This window comes from Homo sapiens, chromosome 3, assembly GCF_000001405.40.
Source record: "Homo sapiens chromosome 3, GRCh38.p14 Primary Assembly".
NCBI lineage: Eukaryota > Metazoa > Chordata > Mammalia > Primates > Hominidae > Homo > Homo sapiens.
The window spans coordinates 143,451,559-143,467,348 of NC_000003.12; the positions used below are offsets into that span (position 1 = coordinate 143,451,559).

General features: G+C 35.7%; 1 protein-coding gene across 4 annotated transcripts in view, besides 1 other annotated feature; it reads right to left on the bottom strand.

Annotated features, from left to right (window-relative positions):
- The window catches only part of SLC9A9 (solute carrier family 9 member A9), a 583,247-nt gene that overhangs the window by 186,337 nt on the left and 381,120 nt on the right, over nt 1-15,790 (bottom strand). For all 4 annotated transcript variants that reach the window (XM_017006203.2, NM_173653.4, XM_011512703.4 and 1 more), the window contains one exon: nt 15,479-15,632. In XM_017006203.2, coding sequence (XP_016861692.1) covers nt 15,479-15,632 — 154 coding nt within the window. The remainder of the gene's footprint in view (nt 1-15,478; nt 15,633-15,790) is intronic.
- Nucleotides 11,839-12,008: an enhancer, noted in NCBI's record as "experimental_64869 CRE fragment used in MPRA reporter constructs". NCBI's record gives its function as "activates a minimal promoter by MPRAs in K562 erythroleukemia cells, with activity observed for both the introgressed and non-introgressed 3:143182324 variant alleles {active_cell/tissue: K562}" and the evidence as "EXISTENCE:reporter gene assay evidence [ECO:0000049][PMID:34662402]".

Sequence of the window (15,790 nt, forward strand, 5' to 3'; positions counted from 1 at the left end):
CCCAGGGAATTAAATAATGTAATCAAAACACTGAAATCTGTTTCAAAGCAGTACTAGTTCACCGATAACCAAAAATAAAGGAGAAAAGGGGAAGTTCCCCCTGCTTAATGCTTACAAAAAGGACTTTTCTATATTGCTTTCACACTACATTATAGGTTTCCACATTACCAGGACTAGAGAATGAAAGAAGCGTATGAACATATATGGAGGATATGACCATTTTAAGTTTTACTTTTGGGATAAGACATATCAGAGTAACGCAAAGGCAAATTTGAGTATTTCCTCTCAACATGATATGATTGGCAAATATATACATACAATTAGTAATATATATGATTAATAATATAGAAATGTAAGGCCTTGATTACAAAAAATTACACTGGGAAATTTAATGTACTTCTTTCAGAATCTGACACATCTAGTAAAAATATAGGTAAAGATACAGACAATTTGAGTAACATAATCAAGAAACTCAATTTAATAGGAAACTGAATCATCCTAAATGTAATAGTCGAATCAGATGATGATTATTGATGGATGCTAAAAACAGTGGGTAAAAGATTGTTAGAAACAGGATATTTATACTGTCCTTAAGTATCCTCCCACAGATTAAAAACTAATTACAAAGGTAAAAATATACCTTTGCAACTGAGGTTAACACTGTCACCACATGAACAAACTTAGCATTACCAATGGTGGAACAACCTGACCTCATGTGCCCATTAGCACACAACAGTATCGATGAATATTCTTGCCAAAAATATTCAACCTGAATTTCAAGCCTTGACCTAATTTCTAGTTTACAGGAAATATAGCACCGAAAAGAATACATTAATTGTTGCTGTGGGAAAAAAAGCAAGTCCAGGGTGTGGAATAGTGTATGAAACAACTGACCTGGTTTCTTCTGAAAAAACAAAAAAGAAGGAAAAACTGATTAAAAAGACTAAAAAAAAAAAAAAAAAAAAGACCAAATGCAACACATTATCTTGATTGGATCCTGAATTTTAAAATATCTTATAAGTTTTTGCAATAACTGGAAAAATTTAAATATGTACTGATAATACTGTCAATTGTTAAAAAAATTTCTAGGTACAATAACTGTACTTTGGTTATCTAAGAGAATGTCCTTATTTCTAGGTGCAATGACGGTACTTTGGTTATCTAAGAGAATGTCCTTATTTCTAGGTGCAATAACGGTACTTTGGTTATCTAAGAGAATGTCCTTATTTCTAGGTGCAATAATGGTACTTTGGTTATCAAAGAGAATGTCCTTATTTCTAGGTGCAATAACGGTACTTTGGTTATCTAAGAGAATGTCCTCATTCTTAGAAGATGCATGCTTTAATATTTAGATAAGAAGCATGTGATGACTATTCTCACATTCAAATGGTTCAGTGAAAAAGCAACAAATTAAAAACCATTCACATAATTATATTTAATATATATGCATATTATGTATATATATGGAAAGGCAAGAATGCGAAGTGAGCAATTTATTAATAATGGGTGAAACTAGGTTAAGGGCATATCGATATTTATTTTACTATTAGGTTGAACCATACGAAATTGGCAATACTTGACCATTTTTTAGCTACAAATGACAATTTTACCTTGAATACACAAATTAACATAGGAGACACTAGAAAGGTGACAGAAGACACACCATTAAAAATGACTGAAGGAATCAGAGGGCTTCACAGTTGACTTTGATCTAGGTTTTAAAGACTAGATTATTTCTATATTATGTTATTTCAGAATATGAAAAAATGGAAAAGCCTTTAGTTCATGTTATGAATATAGCATATCCTTAATAATACCTAAACCCAGTAAAGATAGCTCCCTCCCCACAAAGGGAAAAAGAAAACTATAAGACTAATTCAAATTTATTATTATACATACAAAATTTTAGGGAAAAATAGTTATCTTGAGAATGTAAGGATAATTCAGTATCAGGACATCTATTAACATATTTCATCATACTAACAAATTAAAAGAAGAAGAAAACTGTATGATTATCTCAACATATTCTGAAAGTGCTCTCTCTATATAAATAATTCACTGACATTTCTAATCAAAGCTATAAGTTAAAATAGGATTATTTTATGAGTGCTGAGCACTGCTCAAAGGACATTAACATGTATCTTTTCCCATTTAATCTTTATACATTTAATCTCCAGAGATAGATGCTGTTATTACCCCCATTCTACTTTCTACAGTAAATGCCTAGGAGAGAGAATGCTTGGTGCTATGGTTTGAATGTTTTTTGTCCCCTCCAAATTTCACATTGAAATTTAATCCCCAATGCAACAATATTAGGAGTTGCAGCCTTTGGAAAGTGAATGACATTGGGTGCCCATATGAAAGGGTTTGAAGGAGGAAGTTTGTCCCTCTTGCTCTTCCACCTTCTGTCATGTGAGGACATAGTGTGTTTGTCCCCTCCAGAGAAGGCAGCATAAAGGTGCCATCCTGGAAGCAGAGAACCACCCTCACCAGAAAACTAAACCTGCTGGCACCTTTATCTTGGACTTCCCAGCTTCTAGAACTGGGAGAAAATAAATTTCTGTTCTTCGTAAGTTTTCCAGTCTTAGGTATTCTGTTATAGCAGCACAAAACAAACTAAGACACTGGGTCATATAGTAATTGTATTTTTACCTTATAATACACTGCTAAAGTGATTTACAGATTGGCTGTATTATTTTAGATTCCCACCAGCAATGTATTCTCTCTAGGTGTGTAGCTTTGTATTTTCATTCTCTGAACAGTGTTTTGGCAAAGTAAGGTATTTTCATGATTTTTTCTTTTATGGATGATGTTCTTCATATAATATCTAAGAATCCTTTGCCTAATTCAAAGTCATAAATACTTTCTCTTATGTTTTTTCTCGAAGTTTTATAGTTTTATATTTTGATCTATGATCCATTTTGAGTCAATTTCTTTGTAAGTTCTGAGGTTTAAGTCAAGGTTCATTTTTTGGCCTACGGATATTGTATTAGGTTTCTATTGCTGTGTAACAAACTACCAAACCTTAGCAGCATAAAACAACACCTATTAGCTCCCAGTTCTGTAGGTCTGATCTCTGGCATAATGTGACTGGATTTTCTGATTAGGATATCACAAGGCTGAAATGAAGGTACTGGCTAGGCTAGGTTCTTGTCTGGAGGCTCTGGAGGAAAATCTTTCTAATATCATTCTTCTTGTGGGCAGAATTCATTTCCTTGAGGTGTAAACTATGGCTCCCTTTTCCTTTCTGGCTGTCAGCCAGGTATTATTCCCAGCTCCCAGAGGCTTCCAAAATTCCTTGCCACGTAGCCACTTCCAACTTTAAGCCATGATGGCGCATCAAATCCTCCTGAATGTATGAGTTCCTCTTCAAAGACTTGCCAGAGAAAACTCTCTTCTTATAAAAAGGTTCATGTGATTAAGTCAGCCTCACAAGGTAATCTTCCTATTTCAAAGTCTACTGTGTCATATTAAGATAATCCATCATATTTGCAGTTCCAAGGATTATGCAAGTCATGTGTATCAGGATGGGGAGGGGCAGAAAATGCTGGGAGTCATCTTAGAATTCTACCAACCACAGATAGACACTTATTCTAATACCATTTGCTGAAAATACTATCCCTATGCCATTGAATTGTTTGTTAACCTTTACAAAAATCAATACGCCATAGTTGTGTAGGTCTATTTATGGGCTTTTTCTTCTGTTTAGTTAATTTATATGTCTATCCCTTTGTCAATATCACATTTTTTGGTTACAGAAATGTTAAAGTGAGTCTTAAAATCAAGCAATCTGAGTTTTCCAACTTCATTCTTTTTGAAAATCGTTTTAGCTATTCTAGTTACTCTGCATTTCTTTCTAAATTTAAAAATCAGTTTGCCTGTATCTACAAAATGTCCTCCTGCGATTTTGATTAGAATTGTATGAAATCTCTGGATCAATTTACAGAAAATTGATGTCTTAACTATATTTAGTCTTCTAATTCATAAACACAGCAAGCCTCTCCATTAATTTAGTTCTTTCTTGGTTTCTGTTATTGGTATTTTGTTTTCAATATACAGATCCTGCATGTGGTTTGTTAGGTTTAGTCCCAAGTATTTACATTTTTTTGAACTATTAGAAGTGGTATTGACTTTATTAGTTTCTGTTTCCAATTGCTCATTTCTAGTAGTTAGATATGCACTTGATTTTTGAGTACTGACCATGTATCCTACAACCTAAAATCACTTATTTCTAGAAGTTTTTTTTTTTTTAGGTTTCTTTTTTCTATATAAACAATTATAAAGGCTGAAAATTGGGCACTTTTATTTCTCTCTCTCTACACTGTATGTATCGTCTTTATTTTTCTTGTTTTATTGCACTGGCTAAGATTACCAGGACAATATTGAATTAGAGTTCCTTCCTAAAATTAGGAATATTTGTCTCATTCTTAATATTAGGGAGAAAGCATTTGGCTTTTCACTATTAAATATGATGTTAGGTATAAGTTTTTTTAGATGTCTTTTATTAGTTTAAGGAAGTTTTCTCTTATTCCTGGTTTGCCAAAAGTTTTTTTTAATCATGAATAAAAATTTTTATTAAATGCTTTTTCTGCATCTATTGATATGATCATGTTTTTCTTTTATCTGCTAATATACATTTCAGTGATTGATATTTACCTACTAAACCAGACTTGCATTCCTGAGATCAGTCCCACTTAATTGTAATGTGTAGCCTTTTTAAGTATTGCTGGACTTGATATTCTAGTATTCTGTGCAAGATTTTTGCATCTATGTGTATAAAAAAGATTGGACTATAGTTTTACTTTATTGTGATGATGTTTTACTTTTGTATTAGGGTAATTCTGGCCTCTTAAAATGAGTTGGAAGATATTGTTCTGCTTCTGTTTCTTGGAAAAGATTATTTAGAATTAGTGTTGTATCTTCTTTCAAAGAATTTGCCAGTGAAACCATCTGGGCTTGTAGTTTATTTTTTTGGAAGGTTTTAAACTCTAAATTCTATTTCTTTCTTTCTTTTTTTTTTTTTTGAGATAGAGTCTCACTCTGTCGCCCAGGCTGGAGTGCAGTGGCACAATATCGGCTCACTGCAACCTCTGCCTCCCAGGTTCAAGTTATTCTCCTGCCTCAGCCTCCCGAGTAGCTGAGATTACAGGTGCCTGTCACCATGCCTGACTAATTTTTGTATTTTTAATAGAGACGGAGTTTCACCATCTTGGCCAGGCTGGTCTCGAACTCCTGACCTCATGATCCATCCACCTTGGCCTCCCAGAGTGCTGGGATTATAGGCGTGAGCCACTGTGCCTGGCCAATTCTATATTTTTAATAGATACAGGATGATTCAGTTTATATATTTCTTCTTGAATGGGTTTTGGTAGTTTGTCAAGAATTGTTACATTTAATCTATTTTGTTGAACATATGTGCAGAGAAAATTGTTTGTAGTATTCCCTTATCATCAGTTTAATGGCTGTAAAATCTGTCATGATATTCTCCTTTCTTGCTCTGTTGCCAAGGCTGGAGTGCAGTGGTGTGATCATGGCTCACTGCAGCCTGTCTTCCAGGCTCAAATGATCCTCTTGCCTCAGCCTCCTGAGTAGCTGGGACTATAGGCATGTACCACCATGCCTGGCTAATTTTATTTTTTGCACAGATGGGGGTCTCCCTATGTTGCTCAGACTGCTGTCAAACTCCTGGGCTCAAGCAATTCTCCTGCCTTGGCCTCCCAAAATGCTGGGATAACAAACATAAGCCACCTGGTCTGGCCCCTCCTTTCATTTCTAATATTGATGATATGAGTCTTTTTCTTTTTGTCAGCGTCACTAGAAGTATATCAATTTTATTGCTCTTTTCAAAGAACCAGGTTTTGGTCATCGATTTTTCTCTACTGTTTCTCTATTACCAAGTCTATTGATTTCTGCTCAAATTTCTTTTTATCTTTCCTCTTACTTGTTTTGGGTTTAGTTCACTCTCTCAATGTTCTAATCCTGGAAGATTAGATTGTTCATTTGAAAACTTTCTTCTCTTCTAATATAGGTTTTCAGTGCTATACATTTCTTTCTGAGCGCTGCTTTAGCTGTATTCCACAAATTTTGAGATTATATTTTCATTTACTTCAAAATATTTTCTAATTTCTCTTGAGATTTTATCTTTGACTCATGGATTAGTTAGAATTGCATTAATTTTCAATTATTTGGAGATTTTTCAGTTATTTTTATATTTATTTCTCATTTAATTCCATTATGATCAGAGAACAAACACTGTATGTTATCATTTCTCTTAAATTAGAAAAGGTTTTATGACCTATGCTATTGCCTATTTTGCTGTAATTGTAAGCACTTGAAAAGAATGTGTATTATGCTGCTGTTGGGTAGAGTGTTCTATAAATGTCAATTAAATGCAGCTGGTTGTTAGAATAGTTCTTCTGTACCCTTGCAGATTTTCTATCTACTTGTTATATCAGTTACTCAGGGACAAGTACTGATGTTTGCAACTGTAAGTGTTAATTTGTCTCTCTTCCCTTTCAGATTTATCAATTTTTGCTTTATGTATTTTAAAGCTATATTCTTAGGTGCATACACATTTTATATAGTTCTGTCTTTTTGGAAAATAAACTCTTTTATCATTATGTAATTCCCTCTTTAATCCTTGGAAAATTTTCTTGCTCTCAAGACTATTTGATTTAATATAGCCACTCCAGCTTCATTTTGATTGGTGTTTGCATGGTACACCTTTTTTCATTCTTTTACACTTAACCTATCTATATCATTGTATTCAAAGTGTGTTTCTTATAGACAGCATATAGCTGAGTCTTGTTTTTAATCTGCCTTGACAATCTCTTTTAACTGATGTCTTCAGGCAATTTAGATTTAATGTAATTATTGTTATATTTGTATTTAGATCTATCATTTTATTACCTGTTTCCAGTTTGTTTTCTCTATTTTTCCCCTCTGTTTTCGTCTCCTGCCTTCCTTGAAGTTATTTGAATTGATTTGTTTTCCATTTTAATTTACCTATTGAACTTTTGACTATATCTCATTGTGTATGTGTTTTAGTGGTTGATCTACAAATTACAGTATGAGTATATAATTTTTTACAATACATTTTGAATTAATAGTTTACCACTTCAAGTGGAATGTAGAAAACTTACCACTTACAGGTCCCTCTACTCACTTTCCTTTTTGAGAACCCCATAAGACAATGTTAAAATTTTTCCTTCAATAACCATACATATTTTTAAAACCTTAAGAAAATATATTAAACAGATATTTACTATTTCTGTTGCTGCTCCTTCATTCCTGCTGTTCCAAGATTCCCTCCAATACCATTTTCCTTCCATATGAATACATTCCTTTGGCATTCTTTTTTTAAAGAGCAGATCTGCTGGTGAAAAATGTCATACTTTTGTTCAGATTAGATAATTTCTTATAATCTTCAAGTTCACGGAATCTTTCATCTGTCATCCTTTATTTTGTTTTTAAGCTAATTAAGAGAATATTTTGTTTTGGTCATTGCATTTTCCATTCTAAATTTTTTATTTATTTATGTATCTTCTATTTCTCTACAGTTTTTTTTTCATTTTTCCATTTGTTTCCATTGTGTATGCTCTTACTTCTTGGGGCATGGTTACAATAGCTGCTTTAAAGTCTTGATTCATTAATTCCAATATATGTGTCCATACTGGGTTAGCATCTTGTGAAATATTAAGATTTTTCCTGGATCTTGTGAGACATTAAGATTTTTCTGGGTATTCATATGCTAAAAAAATTATAGAAATTTGGATACTATGTTAGATAACTCTGGATCTGGAATGTTAAGTGACATAGGATTTTCCTGGGGAGAATGTTGAGATTTTGTTTTACCAGGTAATCAAACCAGATTTTGTCCAGAATGCAAGTTCTTATCTGCCTTCTGTTGCTGGTTGTTCCAATGTCAGTTAAGTTTGAAAGTCTTTGCAGTTGTCTTTAGATTTTTCCTGCATATGTGATACCCAGTGTCCAGTTGGGGAGCTGGGTAATGTTCTGACTTATAGTTCATTTCTTATTGTCTTAGGTGTATGCTGTTTAGGCTCAGACACATGCATATACAGCCTAATTTTGAGCTCGAAAATTTATAGACAACTTTATAGGGTCGATTTCTCAAACTCCCTTCTCTCTACAATCTTCTCTACATTTTCTACCTTCCCAAAGCCTCTTTTCCTGGTCCTCTGGCTAAAAACTCAGAGTTTTAATTTTCCCACAGTGCTGCATATTTTCTATGATTTTCCCATAACATTGCACCTGTTTCCAAGGCTAATCGGTGAGAGGATTAAGAGAAAAAAAAATACAATGGGAATTCTCCCCCATGATCTTAGGACCAAAGTTCCTCTGGTTGATATTTTAGCTGCCTTTGTAACTGTTGCTGCCATCGTCACCTGTCACCTTATGATTGCTGGGATTGGGGAAAAGAGAATGAAGAAAACAACAACAAATCTAAGGCATATGTCCACTCTTCTGACCCACAAATGTCCCCTTTCCTTTATCTTGTTCCAGAAACAAAGAATTTCTCTTGTAGCTTTCTCTCTCTTTCTTATTTTATAATTCTGGTGTTAAATTGTCTATGAGTCCAGGCCAAGAGATTCCAGAGAGGAAACAAAACGAAAACTCACCACCAGTTCAATAGTACTCTGAATTCTGGTTTATTCCCCGAATATGTCTGTTACCATTTACTTTTTAGAATCCTTGTATAACTGCTACATGCTTTGTTCAGTGTTTTTAGCTGCATTCAGAGGGAGAGAAAGTGGGTGGAGTAAGTGTGCTTACTCCATTTTGACCAGAACTGGTACCCTTCTCCACAGCCTTTGAATAACAAGTTCCATCTACTGCATTCAAAATCACTTTTTTTTTTCAAACGTTGGCTGTTACCTAAAGTACAAATACATCTATTACTTAAAGTAAGGACACCATATTGGATAATGCTTTATGATAACAGGCTAATAAGTCTCCTTTAATAGACCAGAATGTCCATTGTTTGGTAAACTTAGTAAATGAGAGAAGCTTATTGATACCGATATTCTCAAGAGCACCTTCAGAGAAGACGACTAAGAACATGGCTTGTGGATGATAGCTGGCAGTTGTGGAGTTAAAGACTGTTATCTCTGGACCTGAGACAATTTGGCACACAGAAATAAAGCGTATTAAAGAACCCAGATGGCACTGAAAGCAAATTTAGGAACTGCTAATTCATAACAATTGTTATAAACCTAGAATATTTTTAGGTTAAAAACAAGTTACTATAGTTATCCAATATCTCTAATGTAACAAGTCAAACTAGATTGATTTAAGCAATAAATATTTAGATTTATGAAATGTATTGTAGAAGAACATAAAGAAAATAGAACAAAACTATAAAAGGCAGTACCAGGTATGGAATAAATCTACATTCAAATGAGTAAACTGGTTTTCCATGTTTCATGAGAGAGCATATTTCTCAGGTCTGCGGATTGACATTGATTAAATTGATACAAAGTATACAAATTTGCAGAAAATCACTACAAAATATAATACAATCAATACAGCTTGATGAAATGTTACAAATTAAATATCTAAAAAGTTCCCAAGCAAAGATTATTATGTTAAGAAGGAGATAGAAGCATGTTTTAGAAAGAATCTTTTTGAGCTATTGGATAATATAATCCTTTTTGTGAGCATTTTTCTTTAAGGCGTTTATCATTTTAAATGCAGAAATAGGAGTTGCCTGTAAAATTGGTGAGTCTAATTACTATGGAAAATGGTCTAAACCTTCCAGAGACTATTTCTATTTCCCATGTATACCATGCTTTCATAAATATAATTAATTAATAATAGTTTATATGTGTATGTGCGTCAGGGGGACAATAAAATAGTATTTGGGTAAGAAAAGGCTCATAGGTATCCTCTGGTACTGTTATAGCAATATTTGTTGAGCACTTACTGTGTGCCCTAAATTCTGTACACACAGAATGCTCAATCCTTATAATGTTCGAAAGGGGTAGATATCATTATTCCAATTTTACAGATTAAGAAATTTGAGGAATAAAGACATTAAATTTATTGCTCAAAATCCTACAGCTTTAAGAGAGGGAGGCACAATTAGGACCTGCTCAGTCTAACTCCACAGTATATGTGTGTATTGATAGACTACATTAATATAACAATGAAGCAAACTGTTAAACCCACATGAAACTTTGAATGCTAGAAAGAAAACCAAACAGAACACAATCAATATTAAGATAACTTAATTATATATATTCCTCCATTGTATTAAATTAACATTTCCTCACCTCAGTAATCAAGGAAGTCTGTATGGAAGCAGATATATTTAACTCTGCTATTATTTAAGACTTAAAGATATTACTAAGGACAGTTCTCTTTTTATCTTTGTATACATATTTGTGATGGCTGTTATCTTAAAACTTTGTAGCCAATGGGTATAAATGATAAATAAATCATTTGAGGATGGCTTTTGGTCATAAACCAAAAATTGAATATAAATATTTAAGTAAAATATTGATTGTGGGCTGGTGTGGTGGCTCATGCCTGTAATGCCAGCACTTCGGAAGTTTGGGGTTGGAGGATTGCTTGAGCTCAGGAGTTTGAGATCAGCTTGGGCAATGTAATGAGACCTCATCTCTGCTAAAAATAATTTTAAAAAGATTAGCTGGGCATGGTGGTGCACACCTGTAGTCTCAGCTACTTGAGAGGCTGAGGCAGGAGGATCACTTGAGCCCAGCAGATCAAGGCTGTGGGGAGCTATGATTGAGCCACTGCACTCCACCCTCGGTGAGAGAGCAAGACACTCTCAAAAAAAAAAATTAATAGTAGAAGGATTGCACTATCTAAAAGTTACTCACTCTGCAATAGACGTAAGTCAATGTATGCTAACAAATTTTTTTACTGATTTGGGGAAGAGGCTGACGGCAGGATAGTTTGGGATCCTGAATAGGGTTGGGAGATGAGCATGAGGGTAACAAATTCCTATAAGTACCGTAATTCTAAATTCCTGTAATTGAGGAAGACAATCTTCTCCACTTGGCTACTTTGGACTAATCTCATTTTATTTACCCGTAACTGTCCCAGGTCAAAAAGAAAACCTGCACTGAAGAATTTCTGTGTTGTATGAGCCAGTCAGCCCAATCACTTGTGATGGATGAAGATTTCCTGTGTTTGTTTTTAACAGGCCTGTCTTGGTTTAAAAAGTACATTTCTTTCTTCAAAGGATTTGTTAATCAGGGTAGATTGCAGGCATTGAGAATAAGCTCATTTATTCAGGGTGCCAGAAGAATGCACTAGTTGAGTGTGCAGGCCCTAGGCTTAGGCTCCCCAGATTGGAGCCTGATTCTGCAGCCTGGCGGTGGTGTAACCATGGGCCACGGTGGCAGTTGTCAACCACCCTGGGAAGCGGCTACTATCATCATCCCCATTTTATAGATTAGAAGCTGAGTCACAAGGAGGTTATATACTTTGCATTTTATTATCTGATATCTGGCACAGAGTAAGCACTCAATACAAGTCAGTTATTATTGGTAGAGTGTTTAGAGGTCAAAATTTGGAAGCTGTAAAGGTTATCTTGTTGAGGGCACTTTTCTAATGTCAGCTGGGAGACAAGTTCTGTGTTAGTCTGGCATTCAAGGCCTTCCACACTGTGATTCAGATATTGTGAAGAGATGGGTCCTACATTCTCATCTGGGGAGCCCGGGGAAGGTTTGCACTGTGGTATGGGCTCCATTCTCATGAGCTATTTGCTGAAAGTTTCTTGGCTCCATGCGGTGCTCTACCCTAAGCCAAGAATGGGGTTACCATCTTGAAGCTTATTATCTGGTGCCACTGCCAGAGAGCTCTGCCCTGTGGTCTTTAATGTTTATTTGTAAGCATGTGCAACCATTTGGTCGATAATCTTGTTTACTGGCTTTTGTAGGGCAAAGCCTAACACCTTTGGTCTTTTTTGTTTCCTGGGTAACAGCAGAGCTAGTCCTTGGAGACTCCTGTTGGGTTTTCCTCACCGCCAGTATTAATGTATTCCACAGAAGGGAGGAGAACCGGATTTTAATCAAGAAACCATTCTACTTTATTTTACATGAAAACCTCCAAAATAATGCTGGAGGAGTCTTTTCCTTTTCTCCAGAATTTTAAAAAGCAAAGGTCTGATTTATTTTCAATGCTGCATTACAAACATTTTATGATTATTTTTAAAAAGAAAAATACAACAGCTCCAGGACAAGAAATTTGAATGGTGCTTAGGACAAGACTCAATCAATGGAAAATTTGGTTCACATATAAAGATCATTATTTGTTTCTCTAAACATAGGATCATTACTGTTTTAAAGTCAGTTCCATCAAAGTGCAATTCATATTAATACTATCAATTTTTGCTTTATATAAAACATTTTCTTTGCATCCTACTGTGGTAGTTTGCAGCTGGATGGCAAATTTTATGGGGATTAAAAAAACTAATTCAAGTACATATCAAATAATTTCAGAGAAAAAAATATAGACTCAAGAAGGGAAGGCCACGTAAAGTAGATAAACAAATCACATTCCAATTGAGGGTGTTTGGGTTCATTCAATATCACGTTTGTCTTCGTGTCTCTTGGGTTTCTCCATTTGTGTGATTTTATTAAAGCTCCAATTTACTTACTTCGTGGTGTTTTTGGAGAAGAGTCTGACAAGAAAGTTGGTTAACGAGATATAGCTCTGTAAACAAGCAAAGCCTTGCTAAATAGAGTCTAAATGATGGGTGACTATGAGTTTAAAGCCATAATGGAATTGAGAATTTCTTTGACAACATTATAAACCATGGTAGGAAAGTGGAGCATATGATGGTATCACTGCAAGTTAGTGTGTATTTGTATACACACAGTGACATAGTTTTATTCTTTAATGTTTATTCTATTATGTCCTATTTCCTGCCCACTGATCGGTGCACAGTGACTCTTCCTCTTTAAGTGAGCCCCTCCTCCCTTTAGTATAGGTGCTAAGGAATCTACACTGCAGGCTCAGGTGTGCCTGGCCCTTGGCAACCCTGACATCTGACAGTATCAATATTAGCTCCATCTCCACTAGCGGTAGGAAGTCTAAACCAGCGATTCTCAAAATGTGGCCCTGGGACCAGCAACAGAGGCATTTCCTGGATGTGGTAGAAATACAAATTCTCAGGCCTTGACCAAGACCTACTGGATGAGAAACTTGGGCTGGGGCTTAGCAATCTGGGTTTTAATGAGCCCTCTAAGTGGTTCTGATGTTCATTCAAGTTTGAGAGCCATTGGTCTTAACTTTTTCTGCCCTGTATCTATCTGTCTGGGTTTACTTCCTGGGTGCCCACAAATCTATGAACTTCAGTTTTTCCCCTTTAGTTTTCTCATGATTGGGTCTCTGGTCTCTTTGGGTTTCTGCCCTGATGTCAGATTTATACTCTAGTTCCCAGCTGAGATCATCAACTTGCTCACTAGACTGGAACCCTGTCAGCTCAATTCCCTAAACACATCACAGTCCTGCCTTTACTCATCTCCCTCCTGGCTGGTGGCCAAGTCTGGCACTGAATTGGTTGGGCCATTTGGAGCCGGTTCCTGCTGGGGCATCGCCATGACCTGGCTGCCCCATGCTGTGCCCCCTGGAAGACTGCCATAACACTGGCCAGGCTGACTACCAGGCACTTCACCCCTGGACACTATGGTTCACATCAGTATCTCTCCTTTCTTACTAGGCTTTGTCCTATAACCTGGATAACTGTCCTAACCTGTTTAAAGCCCCACTATAATACTCCCCTCTCCCTGCTGGACCAGATATTAAGGGGCTGCATAAGTTATGACACCTATTTGAAGTCAGTGGATGCTTTTGGAAAACACTTTAAGGGAGTTAGGTAAATACTTTAGGATAAAACATGTTACTGATTTGGGGACAACTTCTTTTGGGGTAGAAAAAGAAATAGTAGAAAACAAATTATATTTTATTGCTTTAAGGAAATCCTGACATCACTACTTTATGTTCTGAATATTTGAACTCACCTAATAGTGTATTCAGTACTTGCATTTTGTGGGGACCAGCATCCTCTAACTTGGTTTCCAAGCCCTAATTTTTCCATGCAAGGATCTACCTATTGAATTTTGTTTTCCAGAAACCTAAACACACCACCGTCTTACTAACAGTTCACAGGAGACTCAGTGTTATAGAGTTTAATGCAATCTGTGTACTCATCCATGGGAGCCTACAGGTAACCACCACTGTGAAAGAAATTGCAAGTCACATTTATGTGCCTAGGAAGTAATTCAAGAAGCATTTGAAAACACTCCCTATTCACCTTTAGTCAAAGCCTTTTTATGTGTTTAGCAATATTCTCAGTACTTCAGGAAGTCCTTTTTTTCCTTGAATTTGGTTTAATGCATAACCAGTTGGCCTGGTTTGAGCATAAGGTTTCTTATACTAAACTTGTGAGACCTGCAGTGAATGGTTAATGAAAGTGTTTACATTTGTGGTTGTATTCATTTAACTTTTCATGAATTATGTATTCAATCCTACTATGTGCCAGGCACTATACTAGGTGCTGTAATAACAGACTCTTGACTGTAAGAATCTTCTTGGAAGTCCTTTTCTAGTCAGATGGATCTTTACGTGTTGAAGGCAGTAGGTATAAATCTGTCTTATAGATAATAGGTAGGAGTCAGGAAGGGACTGCATGATCATCAAAATGTATAGATTTGATAAATAAAATGTGATTTGCCTAAAGCACTGTTATTACCTTCTGGGATATGAAAATGAGGACCCAGGTCACAAGAACATTAAACAAAGACAGCCACACTTTAAAATAGATTTACCCCTTTTCACAATTGACACCAGCTACCCGTTTCTGTCAAATTGTCTGCTCCTCCCATACTTCAGGTTTATAGCAATCATCTTCCAGAACTGCTTATTGGAGGGCCACTGACTGAAGCCTTTATCCCCTTTTCCTGTATGAAAGTGTCTAACTTGTGTCTATAGCATCCCTCTGGCTAAGCATATGGCTCACTAAGCAAGTATGTTTAAGCATTTCCTATGTCCCTGTTTCTGTTGTAAGTGCGGTGAGGAATTAAAAAACAATAAATTCACTTTATCCTTTGTATTATAGATTTCTCTGTATCAGTCCTACTGGATTGTATCTTGAGGACAAGACCTGTGTCTTATTTTTGTAAACTCCACAGTATACCACATTGTACTGAATACAGATTGTTGAATGGAAGAATTGATAGATGAATAAATAAATTTCTAGGGACAGACTATAAACAGACATCATCCTAGGATTTGGAAGCCTCCTGGAAAAGTCAGTGTGGTTGGTACTATGTCATATTGTTTCACCTTATGAGTGAAGGTCAACTTGACTGCTGGGAAAGTTAGGGTAGGACCTGCCACTGTACTATTGACTAAGTCAGCAATACCAGAAATTGAACAGCGCAGCCATGCCTCATAATGATTTCCTTTGCTAGACGGTGTCACTCACCTGATCTGAAGCCAAGTCAACATGGGGGTTGTTCCTCCTCCAAATACCCAGACAGTGAAGAACACGAGGAGCAGCGTAGTGGTAAACATCATTTGTTTGGGCTGAGATTCTGTGTTCCGAATAGCTAAGGCAAATGCGATCGCTCCTCGCAAACCTTGCAGGAAAAACCAAAGGAGAAAATAAATGCCTTGCAGGTGTCTTTTTCATTTCAATGGATTCATCTTTACAATTTGCTGACACAATTTTTTTAAATTAATCTTTTTATTTTGAGATAATTATAGATTCATAAAGAGTTGTAAGAAATAAAACAGA